The sequence below is a fragment of the Homo sapiens genome, chromosome 2 (assembly GCF_000001405.40).
Source record: "Homo sapiens chromosome 2, GRCh38.p14 Primary Assembly".
NCBI classification, from domain to species: domain Eukaryota; kingdom Metazoa; phylum Chordata; class Mammalia; order Primates; family Hominidae; genus Homo; species Homo sapiens.
Window position 1 is genome coordinate 171,607,394 of NC_000002.12, and position 21,494 is coordinate 171,628,887.

Below are 21,494 nucleotides of genomic sequence, written 5' to 3' on the forward strand. Positions count from 1 at the left end.
AGCTAATTCTCCTCTCTTCCAGCCTCCTGCAAGAGCCAAACTCTTAAATTCTTGGGTCCAGGATTTTTTGCCCAGCCCTCACACACCAACCCTCACTCCCCAACCGTCCATCACTCCCTTCTTTAGGGAGGGAGGTTAAGAGCTTCCCTGTTGTAGAGGCTACTCCAGTTTTTGCCCTTGATGGGGGTAAGCTAAAGCTGCTTCCTGAGAACGATGGTGAGAGTGGCCCAAATGTGAGTTAAAGACATACAGATAGTAACTGAACACATGAAAGGACATTCAAAATTGCTAGCCAGTGCCAAGCATAGTGGCTCGTGTCTATAATCACAGCATTTTGAGAGGCTGAGGCAAGATGATTGCTTGAGTCCAGGAGTTCAAGACCAGCCTGGGCAACATAGAGAGACCCCCCCCCAATCTCTTAAAAAAAATGCTGAACATAGTAGCATGTGTCTGTAGTCCCAGTTACTTGGGAAGTTGAGGTGGGAGGATCACTTGAGCCTGGGAGCTCAAGGCTGCAGCAAGCTGTGATCACGCCACTGCACTCCAGCCTGGGCAACAGAGTGAGACCCTGTTTCAAAATAAAAAATTGCTGGCCATTTGGGAAATTCAAATTAAAACCATAATGACATACTATTACACACCTAGTAGAATGACTAAAATAAAAACATCGGCAGTACTGAATGCTAGCAAGGATGCAAAGAAACTGGATTGCTCATACTTTGCTGGTGGGAATGTTAAATGATACAGCCACTGTGGAACTATGTCTGGCAATTTCTTAAAAAGTTCTACATATATTTACCAAGTGATCCAGCAATTACATTCCTGAGCATTTATCCCAGAGAAATGAAAACTTATATTCACACAAAAACTTGCGTACACATATTTATTTGTAATAACCTCAAACTGGAAACAACCTAAATGTCCTTCAACAGGTGAATGGTTAAACTGTGGTACATCCATACAATGGAATACTACTCAGAAAGAAAAAGGAATGAACTGTCATTACATATGACAGCTTAAATGGCTCTCAAAGGCATTATGCCGAGTGAAAAAAGCCAGTTTTGGCTGGGTGTGGTGGCTCATGCCTGTAATCCCAGTGCTTTGGGAGGCCAAGGTGGGAGGATCAGATCACCTGAGGCCAGGAGTTTGAAACCAGCCTGGGCAACAAAACAAGACCCTGTCTCAATTTTTATTTTTTTTTGAGATGGAGGCTTGCTCTGTCACCCAGGCTGGAGTGCAGTGGTGCGATCTCAGCTCACTGCAAGCTCCGCCTCCCAGGTTCACACCAGTCTCCTGTCTCAGCCTCCTGGGTAGCTGGCACTACAGGCGCCCACCACCATGCCCGGCTAATTTTTTGTATTTTTAGTAGAGACAGGGTTTCACTGTATTAGCCAGGATGGTCTCGATCTCTTGACTGCGTGATCCGCCTGCCTCAGCCTCCCAAAGTGCTAGGATTACAGGCGTGAGCCACTACACCCAGCACAAAAAAAAATTTTTTTAGAAAGAAAAAAGCCTGTTTCAAAATGCTGCATGCTCTATGATCCCATTTATATAACATTCTTGAAATGGCCAAATTATAGAGATGAAGAGCAGATCAGTGGTTGTCAAACACTAGGGAAGGAGGAGGGGAGCGTGTGAGTATAATAGGGTAGAGGAAGTGACGGAACAGTTCTTTGTCTTAATTGTGATGTGGGCTACATAATTCTATAGCTATGATAAAATATCATAGAATTATATACAAAGACATAGAGTGAAAAACTGGTGAAATCTGCGTAAGGCCTGTGGTCAAGTTAATTGTATTGTGCCAGTGTCAATTTCATGGTGCTGATCATGTACTACTATACAGTTACATAAGATGCTATCACTAGGTGAAGCTAGGTGGTGGGGATGGGGAACTCCCTACTTTAATATTTCAAAAAACAAAAGCAAAACAGGCAGTGGGCTGAATTTGGCCAAGGCATAGTTTGATGACCCATTCTTTGGAGAAAAGAACTTTGTTCTCTCATTTCTATTTCAAAACATCCCCGAAGACTCTGATTGTCCTGGCTTGGGTCATGTGCCTCTCCTTTGTATCTGTCACTGTAGACAAAAAAGCAAGGCCATGTCATTACATATTAGAACTCATCAAGGGTGGTGAAGGAGTTGTTCTCCCAAATAAAGAAAGGAGGCCGGACACGGTGGCTCACACCTGTAATCCCAGCACTTTGGGGGGCCAAGGCAGGTGGATCACAAGGTCAGGAGTTCAAGACCAGCCTGGCCAACATGGTGAAACCCCGTCTCTACTAAAAAAATACAAAAATTAGCTAGTCACAGTGGCGTGCACCTGTAATCCCAGCTACTCGGGAGGCTGAGGCAGGAGAATTGCTTGAACCTGGGAGGCAGAGGTTGCAATGAGTCAAGATCGCGCCACTGCACTCCAGCCTGGGTGACAGAGAAGGACTCCATGTCAAAAAAAAAAAAAAAAAAGAAAAAGAAAAAAAAGGGCTGCAGTGTAGACAAAACCATATCTGTCCACTAGAGTAGTGAGTGTCTTAAAATTCTCAAAGTTAGGAAGCACAGATGGGCTTCATGCAGAACTAGAACCAGGAGCTCAAAAACTAGCAGGAGCTCCTTTCCTCATGGAGCCATTTCATCTCTTTTGACTCTACCCTTCTCTGTACCTGCTTCATTCTTTGCTCATGCTGCAGTATAGCTTTCTATGCCTTTCTGTGGGGGCTCAATTTTGTGGGGTGGTTGCTCCACAGCTTCTGTGCTTATGTTTTCCCTACTAAAATGCTTACAATATCATTATGCTCACATTTTATATTGCACTGGAGAATATTAAGATAGTAATCTTTTGACTTACTATTAAAATTTTGTGAATTTTTATCTTTATGATGCTATACTCCTTTCCTAGCCTAATAAACTATGTGTATTATTTTAAAAGGCCCAGAGACGAGAGATCAAAATGGCTGCCTAGATGCAGGTAGTGTGTGCCTCCTCCTCAGAGAGGAACCAGAATAGTAAGTAGATAGATTTCATACAGACCACCCAGCAAAGAGTGCTGGGATTCACCAGAGAAGAGATGGGAAGCACCAGAAGTAAGGAGAGGGTTCAAGGCAGCTTGCCTGGCCAGGGACTGCCTGTGAGCCAGGAATCTTCTATACGTTGGTAAACAGACTAAGAGTGAAACCCCAGGGCTCAGCTTTTACAATCTTGGCTATAAGAGAAACCCTCAACTCATTAGCTAGCGCCTTGGGTCTGACATACGGAGCTGCCTGAAGATTGCACAGAGATGTTGCTCCAGAATGGGAACCCACACAGAATCTCACAGGCACCCTAGCCTAGAGCAGCCTCAGCCAGGTGCCATATTGAGAGCCTACATGCTGGGGATCTACAGACATGGCTGTTGCCACTGCACTGCACCAAGGAGAGGGACAGGAGCCTGGGCACTCACACACACCCCTGGGAGGGTCCCTACCACCCTGCAATGGGCTGCTGTTGAGACTGAGACATGAGCGGACCACACTTCCCACAGTGCCTGCCCAAGCCACTTGCCTGGGAGGGACGCCACCCTCTCTGGTCCCAGGCTCAAGGTGCCATTTTGAGTTTAATGCTGGGTTGCACCCTGCCCTCAGGCCCAGTTTGAGCTGACTCAGCTGCCGCCATGATACGCTTTGGATGTTTGTCCCCTCTAACTATTACGTTGAAATGTGATTTCCAATATTGAAGGTGGATCCTGGTGGGAGGTTTTAGAGTCATGGGGGTGGATCCCTCATAAACGGCTTGGTGTCATCCCCTTGGTGATGAGTGAGTTCTTGATCTGTGAGTTCAATCAAGAGCTGGTTGTTTAAAGAGCCTGGCACCTTTCCCCCTCCTTCCCTTGCTCCCTCTCTCGCCGTGTGACACACTGGCTCCCCTTCACCTTCCGTACAATTGTAAGCTTCCTGAGGCTCTCACCAGATGTAGATGCTGGCACTATGCTTTGTGTATAGCCTGCAGAACCGTGGGCCAAATGAACCACTTCACTTCTCTCTTCTCTTCTCTTCTCTTTTTTTTTGAAACAGAGTCTCCCTCTGTTGCTCAAACTGGAGTGCAGTGGTGTGATCTCAGCTCAGTGCAACCTCTGCCTCCCAGGTTCAAGCAATTCTCACGTCTCAGCCTCCCAAGTAGCTGGGATTACAGGCACGCACCACCACACATGGCTAATTTTTGTATTTTTAGTACAGACAGGGTTTCACCATGTTGGCCAGGCTGGTCTCGAGCTCCTGGCCTCAAGTGATCCGCCTGCCTCAGCCTCCCAAAGTGCCGGGATTACAGGCGTGAACCACCGTGCCTGGCCAAACCTCTTTTCTTTATACATTACCCAGCCTCGGGTACTTCTTTATGGCAACACAAATTTGATTAATACAAGCCACCACCCAGCCAAGGAAAGCCAGAGAATCCAAGCCCTCCTATGTACATCTAAGATAACACCTACTACCCTGCAATGGGCTGCTGTGGAACTGAAGTGCTAGTGGACAGCACTCCCTACAGTGTCCTGCCCACGCTGCCTGCCTGGGAGATACTCTGCCTCTGGTTACAGGCCCAATGTGCCATTTTGAGGGTTTAATGCTGGGCTGCATCCCACCCTCAGGCCAAATTCAAGTTTACATGGCTGCCGTTGCTGCCTGGCCAAGGAAGGACAAGGAAACCAAGCTCTCCTACATACACCTAGGACGATACCCACTGCCCTGCTGCTGTGAGACTAACATTCAAGCAGACCACACTCCCCACAGCTTCTTGCTCATGCTGCTCACCTGAGAAGGGCCTTGCCCTCTCTGATCACAAGCCCACAGCTAGCACCATTTTCAGAGTTTCCCCACTGGGTTGTGTCCCATCCTCGGGCCAAGTGTGAGGTGACACAGCTGTAGCCACCACTAAGCCAGGGGAGGGGCAGATGAGAACATGCTCTCCCAAGCACACTTAGGACAATACCCACCACACTGGTATGGGTGGCTGCAGGGCTGGAGACTAGCCTGCTCAACACATTGAGCTACCAGGAACACCAACACAGACCAGTTGGGACCTTGTGGGTTACAGTACCGCCATCACCCACACCACACCAGCTGCCTGAGAATCCACCCACTACCTAGCCCACCACTCCCACTACTAGCTTCTAAGCAAGCCAACTGGAGATTGGCCCAAAACTCAGCCCTCCAGGACTAACTAACATCAGAGCCAGTGTAAGCTGCTCTAGAGTCTAAAAACAGCCACATTCACCCCGTTGCTGCCAACACCAGGGCCTGGAGACTGGTTCAGTTGGTGTCCAAGTCCCCAGCAAAACTATCACAACTTCAACTAGTAAGTGTTCCCTAAGCCACTGAGGAAATCATATATACCAGTGGCCCTGTGCACTGCTGAAGAAGTTGTACAAAGATTACACTATTTCAGGCATCCAAAATAAAAGCCAAAGTATCCTACTCAGCCGACAACATACATACTACTCAGGAAAAAATTTCCCTACAAAAGCAATGTCAAGAAATTGAAACAAGCAACTGCTACAAAAGATAGACAGATATCAATGATGGTAGAGCTCTATAGAGAGAACTATAAAACACTGATGAAAGAAATAGTAGATGAGACCCAAGAAGTGGAAAGACATCTCATGCTCATGGATTGGAAGAACGAATACTGTTAAAATGACTATATTGCCCAAAGCAATCTACAGATTTAATGTAATCCCTATCAAATTACCAATATCATTTTTCACAGAATGAGAAAAAACAATTCCAAAGTTCATATGGAACTAAAAAGGAGCCCAGATAGCCAAAGCAATCCTAAGCAAAAAGAATAAAGCCGGAGGCCTCACATTACCTGACTACAAATTATACTACAAGGCAGCCGGGCACAGTGGCTGACGCCTATAATCCCAGCACTTTGGGAGGCTGAGGCGGGCGGATCACAAGGTCAAGAGATCGAGGCAATCCTGGCCAACATGGTGAAACCCCCGTCTCTACTAAAAATACAAAAATTAGCTGGGCGTGGTGGCACGCGTCTGTAGTCCCAGCTACTCCAGAGGCTGAGGAAGGAGAATAGCTTGAACCCAGGAGGCAGAGGTTGCAGTGAGCTGAGATTGTGGAACTGCACTCCAGCCTGGCAACAGAGTGAGACTTCATCTCAAAAAAAAAAAAAAAAAAAAAAATTATACTATGAGGCTATAGTAACCAAAACAGCATGACACTGTTATAAAAACAGACATATAGATCAATAGAACAGAATAGAGAACCCATAAATAAAGCCACATGCCTACAACCAATTGATCTTTGACAAAGATGACAAAATAGACAATAGGGAAGGGAAACTCTATTCAATAAATGGTGCTGGGAAATTTGGATAGCTGTATGTAGGAGAATGAAACTGGACCTATGCATCTCATCACAGACAAAAATTTGAATCAAGATGGATTAAAGTCCTAAACATAAGACTGGAAGCTATAAAAATCCTAGAAGAAAACCTGGGAAAAACTGGACATTGGACCTAGGCAAGAATTTATGACCAAGTTTTCAAAAGCAAATGCAACAAAAACAAAAATAGGCAAATGGGACATAATTAAACTCAACAGCTTCTGCACAGCAAAAGAAACAATCCACAGAGTAAACAGACAACCTACAAAATGGGAAAAAAATATTTGCAAACTGTGCATCTGACAAAGTGTTAATATCCAGAATCTACAAGGAAGTCAAACAGCTCAACAAGAAAAAACCCCACTGAAACATGGGCAGACTGGACACGGTGACTCATGCCTGTAATCCTAGCACTTTGGGAGGCTGAGGCCGATGGATCATCTGAGGTCAGGAGTTCGAGACCAGCCTGGCCAACATGGTGAAACCCCACCTCTACTAAAAATACGAAAATTAGCTACGTGTGGTGGTGTGTGCCTGTAATCCCAGCTACCTGGGAGGCTGAGGCAGGAGAATCACTGGAACCCAGGGGTGGAGGTTGCAGTGAGTCGAGATTGCACCACCGTACTATAGCCTGGATGACAGAGCAAGACTCCATCTCAAAAATAAATAAATTAAATTTAAAAAAAAAAGAAACATGGGCAAACAGCCTGAGCAACATGGTGAGACCTCATCTCTACAAATGGTAAAAAATTAGCCAGGTGTGGGAGCATGCACCTGTGGTTCCAGCTACTTGGGAGGCTGAGGTGAGAGAGGTTGAGGCTACAGTGAGCCATGTTCATACTATTGTACTCCAGCCTGGGTGACAGAGCGAGACCCTGTCTCAAAAAAAAAAAAAAAAAAAAAAAAAAAAAAAAAAAAAAAAAAAAAAAAGTGGGCAAAGAACATGAACAGACGTTTTTCAAAAGAAGACATACAAGCAGCCAAAAATCTTATGAAAAAATGCTCAACATCACTAATCATCAGAAAAATGCAAACTGAAACCACAATGAGATACCATCTTATACTAGTCACAACAGCTGTTACTAAAAAGTCAAAAAAACAACAGATGTTGGCAAGAATGTGGAAAAAAAGGAACACTTTTACACTGTTGGTGGGAATGTAAATTAGTAGAACCTTTATGGAAAATAGTGTGGAGATTTCTCCAAGAATTAAAAATAGAACTACCATTCAATCCAGCAATCCCACTACTGGGTATTTACCCAAAGGGAAATAAATCTTTATATTAATATCAAAAAGATACCTGCACTTGTATGTTTATCACAGCACTATTCACAATAGCAAAGATATGTGATATATTTGGAATATTTGTTCCCACCCAAATCTCACGTTGAATTGTAATCCCCAGTACTGGAGGTGGGGCCTGGTAGGAGGTGTTTGGGTCATGGGGGTGGATTTCTGATGGCTTGCCACTGTCTTTGCAATAATGAGTGAGTTCTCATGAGATCTGGTCATTTAAAAGTGTGTGGAACCTCCCCCTGCACTAGCTCCTGCTCCCACTCTTGCCACATGATGTGCCTGCTCCTGCTTCACCTTCTGCCATGAGTAAAAGCTTCCAGAGGCCTCCCTAGAAGCAGATGCCAAAACTATGCTTCCTGTACAGCCTGCAGAACTGTGAGCCAATTAAGTTTCTTTTCTTATAAATTACCCAGTCTCAGGTTTTTCTTTATAACAATGCAAGAATGGAAATACAATATGGAATCGACCTAAGTGTCCATCAGTGGAGAACTGGATCAAGAAAATGTATTGTATGCAGACACACACACACCCCCACACCCCTACACCCACCATGGAATACTACCCAGTCATAAAAAAGAATGAAGTTGGCCATCACAAAGAAAATGATGGCAAAATATAAAATAATTTTTAAGAAATGAAATCATGTCTTTTGCAGCAGCATGGAAGGAACTGGAGGCTATTATCCTAAGTGAAATAACTCAGAAACAGAAAGTCAAATGCTGCATGTTCTCACTTATAAATGGGAGCTGAACAATGAGTACACATGGACATACAGACTGGAATAACTGACTTTGGAGACTCCAAAAGGTGGGAGATTGGGAGGGGGTAAGAGTTGAAAAATCACCTGTTGGGTGCAATCTTGTCTATTTGAGTAATGGATACACTAAAAGCCAAGACTTCACCATGACACGATAGATGCATGTGAGACATCTGCACTTGTACTCCCTAAATATTTAAAGATAAACACACACATGCACGCACACAAAACAACCCAAGGGATCGGTGTAGTAGCTTTCTTTCAATGAAGAGGGGTTGGAGGAAGGGCATAACATAGAGGTCAGAATGTAAAACATCAGTCTGTTTTAAGTCTTTAAGGCTTAAAAAACTATTTCTGGGAAAAAAGGCCCAGTAATATATAAAATTTTGGAATAGATTAAAAACAAAACATTGTCTCTAGTGAGAGTATATGTATATCATTTTAGTTAAAGTGCTTAGTAAATGAAGAACATTTTTTTTTCAAACCCAGAGACTGACAAGCATCTCTTAGTATCTGACCAGAATCTCTGGAGGGATACTTTGAACTAGGTGTCGCTCTTTAATTCAGTAATGATCTGTGACAACTGGTGGGGTCAGATAATAAAGACACAGCCACAGGGCCCCATCCTCTGAGACTCTGCAGTTCTTGGAGATGGGGGCCATGTGCTGAGCAGATACCTACCAAATGTGTCTATTATGCTACAGGAGACTAACAGGGTGCTGACCACCTGTGCTCCAGAAAACTAGCTACCTATCAGAAGCCATGCTCCCACTTCCAGGGGGTAGAATTGCACTGGGAATCAGCTACTCTGGACTGCGTCTCAAAGGACTATATCTCTCAGCCCTTGCAACCAAGTGAAACCATGTGACTCATGTTCGTCAGTGGAACATGGGCAGAAATGATGTGCCTCACTCCAGGCCTGGCTGTCCCTACCACCTCCCCAGTCCCTGCTTCATGTATACTTCTCCATGCCTGTTCCCCTTCTTCTAGCTGGAGGCAGAGGACTCCGGAGGCCTAGAGAGGGGTTGGGCAACCTGTTTAAAGAGCTGGATAGTAAATATTTTAGGCTTTGTGGGCCAGATAGTCTCTCTCGCAACTACTCAACTCTGTAATTATAGTACAAATGCAGTCATAGGCAATGCAACAAATGGGAGCAACTGTGTTGCAATAAAACTTTATTTCCACAAACAGGTAGTGGTGGGCTGGATTTGGTTCATGGAGGGCCCCAGTTTAGTGTCACCTGGGTTGTGTGATCTTGGCTATAGCATGTAATCTCTCTGAGCCTCAGTTTTCTTACCTGTGAAAGGAAGAAATCTGACTTAATCTCAAAATTCTCTAATAATTCCATGATTCTACAATTTCAGCTCATCAACTATTATTTATACTCAACTTCTAGCTTGAGTATAAGCTATTTACACTCTAGCTTGAGTATAAGCTATTTACACTCTAGCTTGAGTGTAAGTAATAGTTGATATTTGACCCAGCCATCCCATTACTGGGTATATACCCAAAGGACTATAAATCATGCTGCTATAAAGACACATGCACATGTATGTTTATTGCGGCACTATTCACAATAGCAAAGACTTGGAGCCAACCCAAATGTCCAACAATGATAGACTGGATTAAGAAAATGTGGCACATATACACCATGGAATACTATGCAGCCATAAAAATGATGAGTTCATGTCCTTTGTAGGGACATGGATGAAATTGGAAATCATCATTCTCAGTAAACTATCACAAGAACAAAAAACCAAACACCACATATTCTCACTCATAGGTGGGAATTGAACAATGAGAACACATGGACACAGGAAGGGGAACATCACACTCTGGGGACTGTTGTGGGCTGGGGGGAGGGGAGGGATAGCATTGGGAGATATACCTAATGCTAGATGACGAGTTGGTGGGTGCAGCACACCAGCATGGCATATGTATACATATGTAACTAACCTGCACATTGTGCACATGTACCCTAAAACTTAAAGTATAATAATAATAAATAAAAAATTAAAAAAAAATAGTTGATGAGCTGAAATTGTAGAATCAGCTACAGGATGGTGTGTGTATGCATTTTAAAATACTGATGACTTTACTTTCAAGCATCCTGTGAAAGAGAAAATTAGCTCAAAAATATACAGCAGTTAACCTTTATTTCCCAATTTGAGGAAAAGTAGAGGAGAAAATTATCAAGAGAAGAAGAAAAGCATCAGGTATTTCTACCGTTTACGGAACTTAACAGATTAAATACAGAAAGCAAGTTAGTGAATGAGTTCCAAGCATATATTCCATTGATGCAGACCACAGGGTGCTGCAGCTTGATCACAGCCATCACACAAGAGGGAAATTGAAAGTCTTTCTTTGGGAACTTCACAGCATCATTTATTAAATAAGCACCCTGGGAGCTAAAGAATTGTTTAGCTCAACAGCAGCAAGACACATTGAGAAAAGAGGGATGATGACATGAGTCCTTCCAACAACTGAGCAGTTTGCTCAGTGGAGGGAAGTTAATGTGTTAAAAAAGAAATATCAGCTATAAAAGTAGCAATAATAATCAAAATCTATATTTGTTTTTATTTACTTTCAAGAAGTCCTGAGGACTTTAACTCTGTCAACCCCACATTTGTGGGAGAGTCGCAAATTTTATATGATTAGTCTTGTTCGACAGATGAAAAACCTGTAAAAGCACTTATTAATGTCACATTTATACATATTTAAGTTTCAGGATAACTTCAAGGAACAATATTTTACTGAATGACAGCTATTTCACACCAAAACCACTAGTGGTAACTATTGCTGTATGAGTAATAATATTGGAACAATAAAATTCATGTTTCAAACAATTTTTTAGTGTAAAAATGTACCATACAATATTTGGTACATACTTACACTAAAAAATTACTCATTGTTTACCTGAAATTCAAACTTAACTGTGTGTCCTGTATTTTTGTTTGCTAAATCTAAATGTTGAAGCCAGAAGGAACCTTGCAAATCACAGTTCAATTCCTTAATTCTAAAGACAAAGTGGGACCAAGAGACATAAATCTCAAGGGAAATTTTCCTTAATGGTGATTGGAAATGCCTTAGAGTCTCTGAATTGTCAGTTTCTTTTCTAGTTCATCTAAGTCCTTCAGAGGAAGGCAGTCTAGAGATAGAAAGACAGGTAGGACATTGAGCCTCTGGATCCAGCAGTGCCCGAAGCAATTCTCAAACTTTTCAGTAACATGAGCCAGTAAATGTCCTTAATCACTTGAGCTGGTTTGAATGGTATTTCTATCCTTTTAAACTAACCTTGAGAGTCCACACTAATATTGCAAGGACTTCCACATTTCACATTTTCTTTTTTTTTTTTCACTTGGAGATAGGGTCTCACTCTGTTGCTCAGGCTGGAGTGTAGTGGTGTGATCATGGTTCACTGCAGCCTCAATGACCTGGGCTCAAGCAATGCTCCCACTTGAGCCTCCAAAGAAGCTGGGACTACAGGTGCTTGCCACTATGCCTGGTTAATTTTTAAATTTTTTGTAGAGATAGCATCTCGTCATTTTGTCCATGCTGGTCTCAAACTTCTGGCCTCAAGCAATCCTCCTGCCTTGGCCTCCCAAACTGCTAGGATTACAGGTGTGGGCTACTGTGCTCTGCCCACTACCACATTTTCTTATTCAAGTTGATAGACTAATTATCATAGTGCCATACAGTAGAAGTTCAACAAATACTTTTCAAATAAATGATAACCTTGGTTTAGGTTATTGCTTTCATTTTACCATCCAAACATTTTCCTTAATCATACAGTGTTGTTGTTGTGGGGTGTTTTTGTTTGTTTTTTGAGAAGCAGTCTTACTCCATCATCCAGATTGGAGTGCAGTGTTATAATTATAGCTCACTACAACCTCGAACTCCCAGGCTCAAGCAATTCTCTTCCTGCTTCAGCCTCCTGAGTAGCTGGGATTGCAGGCATTGCACCACTATGCCCAGCTAATTTTTTTATTTTTTGTAGAGAGTTGGGGGGTCTCACTGTCTTGTCCAGGCTAGTCTTGAACTACTGGTCTCAGGTGATCCTCCCACCTTGGATTCCCAAAGTGTTAGGATTACAGGCATGAGCCCCTGCACCCAGGCTTGTTGCTGCTTTTTAAAAACAAAGTCTGAATTTATTTGCCTGGGCACACAAAAAACAAATATATTATTAAAAGAAATATAAACATGTAGAATAATGAAACCAGAGGTCAAATTGTATATCTGTATTGCTTTCTGGAGAATAGCTTTGTTGACCTAAAGGAAAAAACTGTGGCCAAATTAACATAAGTAGAGGGTTTATTTGGGCCAAGTTTGAGGACTGCAACCAAGGAGCACAGATTCAAGTTGCCTGAATATATGCTCCAATTAGCAGTAGTTACAAGTGGGTTTTTAAAGGAAAAGAGAAGAGGCAGTTTGTAAGTTGTTTATCAAGAATTTACACTAAGGTAACATAAGGTATTGATTGGCTAAACATTGTTCTTTCTTTTCTCATTTCCCCCTTTTGATCAAAATTTTTCTCTTCTGAAGGCATCGATGACCAAAATTTTAGATGTTTGTCTCATGTCATTGGGAAGGCTCATTCCCAGGTAATCTCATCCCATGTCTGAGGGAAAGAGGACAGGTACTTATGGCTTAAGAATTTAGTGATGGCCAGGCACTGTGGCTCACACCTGTAATCCCAGCACTTTGGGAGGCCGAGGTGGGAGGATCACTTGAGCTCAGGAGTTCAAGACTAGCTTGGGCAACATAGCAAGACCCCCATCTCTACACAAAAATATAAAATAAAAAAATTTGAAATTTTAAACTTAAGAATTTAGAGAGGTCTCAAGGCTGAATTGACTGGCAACATAAAGGGACAGAGCAACAAGATCTAGGCCATCCACTTACAGAGGAGCCACAGCATGTTGGATCATTTCTTTCTTGATGTTAAGACATCTAGAAATACAAAGCATAATCAACTTAAGAACCAAAAATATTGAGATGGGATTTTTCCCCTGACTTTGACCCTCTTTGTGGACAGGAACTAGAGTGGCTCATTTCACTCAGCCTGCAGTCCATGGATGGCTAAGTGTAACAGCTCAGTGAAGGCTCAGGGTGACAGCCTCCTACACCTGCCTTTTTTGACACCTGAGTTCTTGTTCAGTGTCCAGGAACAATCAGGTCACACAAACTATTTGAAGGATAGTGTATTTGGAATATTTATTGGGCGATAAAAGTGGCTCTCAGTAGGATGGGGAATTTGAAAGGGGATGGTGTGGGAAGAAGGTGATGTTTCCCTGAAGCTGCACTGTCTGAAGTTAGCAGCGTCTATTCGTAATTTCTGACACTCAGCTGCATGGATCCCTGATGCTCAGCTGCACATATCTCCAATGTTCAGCAGCTTGCATCCCCAACCACTTGTATAAGCCGCTTGTGTTGCTCTTCCAGCTGAAGTCTTTTTATGGGCACAGGATAGGGGAATGGCAGGCAAAAAAGGCAATCACTTGGGCAGAAAAATAGGGCCAGCTGTTTTTACTTAGGGCTGAGGGTTCAGGCTTGAGGGTGGTGTTTAGCTGGGAGCCCAGCTGTTCTGTATCAATATGATGCAAATAAGGACAATTATTAACAAACAATTTGAAATCTAGATCTGAAAGGTGTTTTTATTTCTTAAGGTAACCAATCAAGTAAATCATGTAAGGGGTTTGGTCTTTCTAATGTCTTGTAGCCATTTAGTCTTTTGGGTGATTCTTTCTAACTGAATTTCTACTTTTCATCCTGGTCTGTAGAACAGGGTGACTAGCTGCAGGTCAGCTCCAGTTGGAGATCTTCTCCAGTGATGGAAGATGTCTGCTCAGGTAGGGCTAACTTTTTAAAATGAGAAATGTGAATTCATGAGTAGATGGCCTTGAGTTTGGCTGCACAAGGATTGGTTAACAATATCTGATATAGTCCCTTCCAATGGGGTTGGAGAGAAGCTTTTATTTGATGTCATTTCCAGTAAACAAAATCTCCGGGTTGTAGGCCATGATCTCTGATGTCTTCCTCTCCCAGGAGCTCAATGTTGAAAGAATCCTTAACTAATTTAGAAATGTTAACCAGAAGCTTATAAGGCCTTGGCAAAAATGAGGAACATCACATTTGAGGAGAGCTGGTTTGTAGGCTCCTTCAACCAGGTGCACGGGCCTTGCAGTTATTATTTCAAATGGAGAAAGGTGCTGTTTTCCAAATAGGGTAGAACGTAAGTTAAGAAAGTGGAAGAGGCCGGGCATGATGGCTCATGCCTGCAATTCTAGCCCTTTGGGAGGCCTAGGCAGGTGGATCACTTGAGCTCCGCTGTTCAAGACCAGCCCGGCCAACGTGGTGAAATCCTGTCTCTATAAAAAATTAGCTGGGTGTGATGATGCATGCCTGTAGTCCTGGCTGCTTGGAGGGCTGAGGTGGGTGGATCACTTTATCCCAGGAAGTTGAGGCTGCAGTGAGCTGAGATTGCACCACTGCAACCTAGCCTGGGTGATGGGTGACAAAGTGAGATCCTGTCTCAAAAAAAAAAAAAAAAAGAAGAAAAGAAAAGAAAATGCAAGAGCCTTAGGCCAGGGAAGGGTAAACGTTTCTTTAAACCTTTCCAACTGATCTTTTATTATTCCATTTGTGCATTCCACCATTCTGGAAGACCGAGGGTGGTTTGCACAATGGAAATAATGATTGATCCAATCTCAATCAACTTTGACCGTACAAGATAATCATCATCAGCAGCAGCACTTTGGTAGGCTGAGACGGGCAGATCATTTGAGGTCAGGAGTTCCAGACCAGCCTGGCCCACATGGTGAAACGCCGTCTCTACTAAAAATACAAAAATTAGCCAGGCATGGTGGCGCGTGCCTGTAATCCCAGCTACTCAGGAGGCTGAGGCACAAGAATCGCTTGAACCTGGGAGTTAGAGGTTGCAGTGAGCTGAGATTGCGCCACTGCATTCCAGCCTGGGCAACAAAGTGAGACTACATCTCAAAAAAAAAAAAAATTTAATAGCAGGAACGAAAGGAAGTAAAGTACACTTGGAAGATGGCCAGGTGGGAGATTAGAGATCCAAGTGCCCTGTGTGGCCCTTGACTTGGGGTTTTATACATTGGCATGGTTGGAAGTTTTGCATTTCTTCTCTCTCGATTCTTCCCTTGGAGCAGGCTGTCCACATGCAGGGTGGCCAGCCAGCACTTGGGAGGGGCTGCTTATGCAGTGTGTTTGCTGATGTTGTGTGCATGCTCATTTGAGACATTTTTCCCTTAACCGTCAAGTGTTCTAGAGGAAGGTCATATATCAGTTAAACTCCGCCATTTGCCTCTTAATGCCCATGCTTGAGCCCACTCAACTCCTGAGATCTTATTGGGAAGCCGCTAATCACCAGCTTCAGGTGTTTTCTATCTATTGGGAGGCAGTCCTTCCATGGTGCCAGCTGCAAACAATTATTATTACTAGAGAAACAGTTTAACAACCCCCTGACCATCACCTGATGGTTGCTTGATGTTTCTGGGGTTGGGGAGAAGCTCTTCTGCCCTGCTCATGTCTGCCTAACTGCCTACTCTAATAGTTCACACTAGTTTTCAAAAGTTTTTCTCCCTACTTTGGACTCTTAGTCTTTTGATTACCCATTCCATTGCCCTAAACAATTGTCAGGTAGGCAACCCTGAGTTTGCATTGGCAAAGACACAACTCGGCTGAAACGAGGTAGAAAATTTATATCTCAAAGGCACAAAATTTAGATATAAACACCATTATTTGCTGAGACAAGAGAATAGATAGAGGCTCAGTTAAGATTGCTAGGAAAAGTATCTTAAATAGGTAAGGTATGTTACATAAACTTTAAGCTAATGTATTCCCTGTGATAAAAGTGTCTAATGGTTTAGGTGCAAAGAGAGAGATACCCTTACAAATGGAGATTTCCTTAATAGATATAAATTTCTTTTACAAAGAGTTTCAAAATAGCTAAATATCCGAAAGGTATATTTTGGAGACTGATTTAGTTAGAATGGTGGCCTTATTCATTTAGCATCTTTCTTCATTCGATTACTGACTTCAGGGTGGAGGCCATTAGTGTAAAGGGTAAAGAAAGTATTTGCGGTTTTCAGGGCCTAATATGTAAGTATGTGAAAAGCAGGCACAACCAGAAGGAAGAGCATCTAGATCTTTCAGAATCAAGGATCCTATTTTTATACCAAATTCTGGGTCGCCCAATAGAGGGAAACACCCTGCAACAGGGCTGCACAACATTCCGCAGTGCTTCTCACTACAAAGACATTCCCCCAAGGCCAGTGGTCACCCAACCCCAGTCAGCCCACTCTGTGATCACCCATTCTCCATGGGATTCTCATCCCTTGGTGGCAAGTGTTTCCACAGCCTCCACATATTCAAACTACACCTTTGTTATCTGATCGTGCAAAGAAACAAGGAGTTCCCTACCAGTGACTTGCCAGCGATCACACCCATCAAAGTTAAGTTCTCTCTTACAGTACAAAGTAATCCCTCATACCCCAAAAGCCAAAGAGATTAGGAAACTCAATACAAACAACAGCAGAGCTTTACATCTGAGAGGAAACTGCCTATGCCCTCTTGAGACTCCACAAAGGAGAGAGAGGACCCCAAGGGGAGGTGTGTGGGGGTGGGGGCACGTTTTTCTGTGTTCCTCAAGGGGTATCCAGGCTGCTAGAAGTCTACCCTAGATTTTTTTTTTTTGAGACGGAATCTCACTCTGTTGCCCAGGCTGAAGTGCAGTGGCATGATCTTGGCTCACTGCAACCTCCGCTTCCCGAGTTCAAGCAATTCTTCTGCCTCAGTCTCCTGAGTAGCTGGGATTACAGGCACATGACACCATGCCCAGCTAATTTTTTTTTTTTCAGTAGAGACAGGGTTTCACCATTTTGGTCAGGCTGGTCCCCTAGATTTTTTCATGTGGTTTTAAAAGTAGCAAAAGTGAAGAGGATCAGAAGTAGAAGGAAATAGAAGAGCAAGCCTAGAGTAGCCAATTTGGGAGGTTTTAAGCTTTCTAAAAGGCCAGTGAAGTTTTACATTTTTCTCAGTGGAATTGTGTCAACAGGAAAGCAAGCAAACAGAGGGACCGAACATATTTTACGAAGGGTTTCAGTTGACTGAAAAAAATTCTCAGAAACAGGATCCAAAATAGAAAAAGCAGAGACCTTTTTTCCAAAAAAAATTATAGCCTAAATATCAGCTTTTAATTAAGTTGACTTCTGACCATAGAACTGAAAAAAAAAAAAAAATTCAAACCTCTTATCAGATTTCAGCCAGCACAAACAGAGAATAGTTCTCCTTCAATGTGTCTGATTCTAAAACCAGCTTTTTCCAATTGTACACACATGAGTTATCTTAGGCATTTCAAAGGACCCTCATTTCAGCCATTGCTGCTTATGACCATCCTGGGTCATGTGGGTTCATTTTCCTAGATATTATAAGAGGACGCCTTGTAAGTGTTGTACATAAAAACCAGCTGGTGTTTCTAAAGGAGGCTGTCCCTTAAAAGAGCACTCCGATTTTGAAGCTTGAATTCCCATAATTTAGGAACTTTTCAAAAGTGACCAAGGCCAGAAATGCGTTTTGCTTTGAGAAGTGTGCTTCTTCTGAGTGTCACTCCTCAGGGTGTCATCCAAAAGTCGAGACTCTCTCTGTTATGTGTCCCAGACTGCCTCTAACTGCCAGGTGGCAGTAGGGTGCTCAAGGTATTGGGGTAACCAATTCCTTAATTTTTACCTTTCCTGATGAGTTAGATTCCCTAAAATGTTCTTCTGGTGAAAAATGCCCTATGAGGCTGCTTCCCATCCCAGACAATATTCCTGACACCTCTATAAAGTCTCTAGTCACATAGAACACCTGAATGGGTCAGAGGGAGCAGTTGCCTCTTCTCTTGGAGGCGAGAAAACTCACACTATGCACCTTTCAGTTTGAAACTAACAGGAATTGGTCACAAGTGAAAATGCAAGTCTAAATTACAAGGAGTAGATAGCAGCTGCAATTTTATTTTATTTTACTTTATTTATTAATTGAGATGGACTTCCACTCTGGACCCTAGGCTGGAGTGTAGTAGTACCATCATAGCTCACCGTAGCCTCGAACTCCTGGGCTTAGGCAGTCCTCTTGCCTCAGCATCCCAAGTAGCTGGGACTGCAGGTACATGCCACTGCATCTGGCTAATTTTTAAATTTTTTGTAGAGATGCCACTGCACCCAGCCAATAGCTGCAATTTTTAAAGCATGCTATGTAATTTTAGGCCAAAACAAGTGTAACTACTGGTACCAGACTGCCCATACCATAACCTGAACTTCTTGCCCTGAGGTAGAGGCAGAAAAAGCAGTTCTCTGCAGACCTGTTTATCCAAATCTCCCATCCAGACACTGAGACCAAAGCCCTCACTCTTAGAGGAAAGAGAGGGTTTGACTTTTTTCTTATTTTTTAGATACAGTGATGGCAGTGGCAGCCTGTCTGGAGCAGCTGCTGTGAAGATGCGGGCTGCAGTAGGGGAAGTACTGCCAGGGCTGCATGCTCCATGGAGCCAGCAGGAGCTGAAACAGGCAGGAGCCCTGCCCGCTTCCAAGTTGGCAGGGCAGGAAACCTGTGCTCCCTGAGTGTAGCTGCAGCTGCCCAGCTACAGCTCCAGACCCAGGCATCCCTGTGCTCTTGGGGGCCCAGGAAGTGCCCCCTGACCCCACAGGCTCAGAAGTGCCTGCTCTCACTCCCTGGCCTCTCCCTGCACTCAGTGCCCACTCTGTTGCAGAAGCAAAGTTGTGGCCAAAGCCAGATGCTGTCGTGACCCAGCCAGGTGTGTGTGCACTTGGGGCAGTGCTGACATGCCGCCCTGGCCCCCTTTGGACTTTGGTCACTGATGAGTGCAGGAGGGAGGTGGTGGGGGGTGCTGAGGGCAGCTCGGTGTGGGCCTGCAGGTACCCCTTATCATGAAAAGCCTGGGTGCCATGGATGGAATGTTGTTAGCAGGAGGTAGACAGGTTCCTGGGCAGAAAAGAGCAGGTCCCTATCCACCTTCAAGCCAGGGATGGCCTGAAGCCTGGGGGCCAGTCTGCCACTTCCAGGTGGAGTCCACACCTGGAATGAGAACTTATGGTGCTTTTTCCGAGCCCATCCATGACCACCCATGGGCCAATTAGCATGCATTTCCTCCCTTCTGAGCTCATAAAAACCCTGGACTCAGACAGATGTAAGGACGACCTGCCTGTGAATAGGAGCTACCCACTCTGGGTCTCCTGTCTCCTGACAGCTGGACACTCAATGGGACAACCTGCCTGCAGAAAGAAGCTACCCATTTTGGGTCTCCTGAGAGCTGTTCTGTCGCTCAATGAAACTCCTCTCTACTTTGCTCACCCTGCAGTGGTCTGTGTAGCTCATTCTTCTTGTACGTGGGACAAGAACTCAGGAACCGCCGAATGGCAGGACTGAAAGAGCTGTAACACCAACAGGGCTGAAACATGTGCCCCACCTCCCTGTTTGCCACACCGTGGGCAATGAGAAGGGGAAAAAAGCTGTGGCCCTTCAGGGATCCCAGACCTAGGGGATCCCCAAGCCAGAGCTGTGACACCCTCTTTGGGGCTGTGTGGTTCCTGGCATCTCCAAGCTTCTGGGTACCACCACATTCCCCTCATCCAGACGTGGATGCCTGCAGCAGAAGCTGTGTGTGGTGCATCTGTTCCAGCCACAGCTTCACATGGAGCTGGCACCTGTGCCAGAGCCTGGAGCTGCCTGCCCTGCCACAGCAGCCAGCATCCCTGGCTGTGCACAGTGACCTCACCTCGCACTCGCTCACCCACACACCCCTCGCCACTCCCTGCCTGGCTTGCCTTTGGCAGGTGTCAGATCCAGGCCGGTAGTGCAAGCCAAGCACAGCCTGCCAGGCAGAGTGGGCAGAATGAGCCCAGCAGGTGCAAGCAACACTCAGGCAGAATGTACTGCTAGCCACAGAGGTTTCTGGCTGGTGAAGCAACACCCCAAGGATTCCATGACAACAGGAATCTCACTCACTTGCCCAGGTTAGAGTGTAATGATGTGATCATAGCTCACCGTAACCTCAAATTCCTGGGCTCAAGCAATCCTCTGGCCTCAGCCTCCTGAGTAGTGAGGCTAATTTTTAATTTTTTTGCAGGAACGGGGTCTTACTCTGTTGCCCAGGCTGGCCTTGAACTCCTGGCCTCAAGCCCTCCTCCTGCCTCAGCCTCCCAAAGTGTTGGGATTACAGAAGTGAGGCACCATGCCCAACCATGAAAGAGAGGGTTTGAAAAACACAGCCCAAATAAAATCTAGACCTCAGCTGAAAAGGAAATGGAGATCCAGATTCAGGACTGAAACTTTTGTGGCCACTGAAACCTCTGGAGTTGGAAGAACACAGTGGGTTTGTGCTGGTACCAAGCATTGAATCAGAGAAGGAATGCCAGATAGTCGGCAGTCTGTCATTTTAAATCCTGCTGGTGACATTTTAAATCTGGTGACATACACCACATATGTCAACCTGAAGGAAAAAACTGATACAAAATTAATGGAAGTAGGAAGTGTATTTGGGCCAAGTTTAAGGAGTATAGCCCAGAAGCATTGATTCAAGTTGCCCTGAATATATTCTCTGATTAGCAGCAGTTACAAGTTATATCTTATTTATTCATTTATTTAAATTTAATTTAATTTGTTTTTTTTGAGACAGAGTCTCACTCAGTCACTGGGGCTGGAGTGCAATGGCGTGATCTCGGCCTACTGCAACCTCTGCCTCCTGGGTTCAAGTGATTCTCCTGCCTCAGCCTCCCAAGCAGCTGGCTGCCGTCATGCCCAGCTAATTTTTGTATTTTTGCAGAGACAGGGTTTCACCGTGTGGGCCAGGCTGGTCTCAAACTCCTGACCTCAGGTGATCCGCCTACCTTGGCCTCCCAAAGTGCTGGGATTACAGGTGTGAGTTACTGCACCCAGCCTTTATTTATTTTTGTTTGAGACAGAGTCTAACTCTGTCACCCAGGCTGGAGTGCAGTGGCACGATCTCAACTTACTGCAATCTCTGCTTCTGAAGTTCAAACGATTCTCCTGCCTCA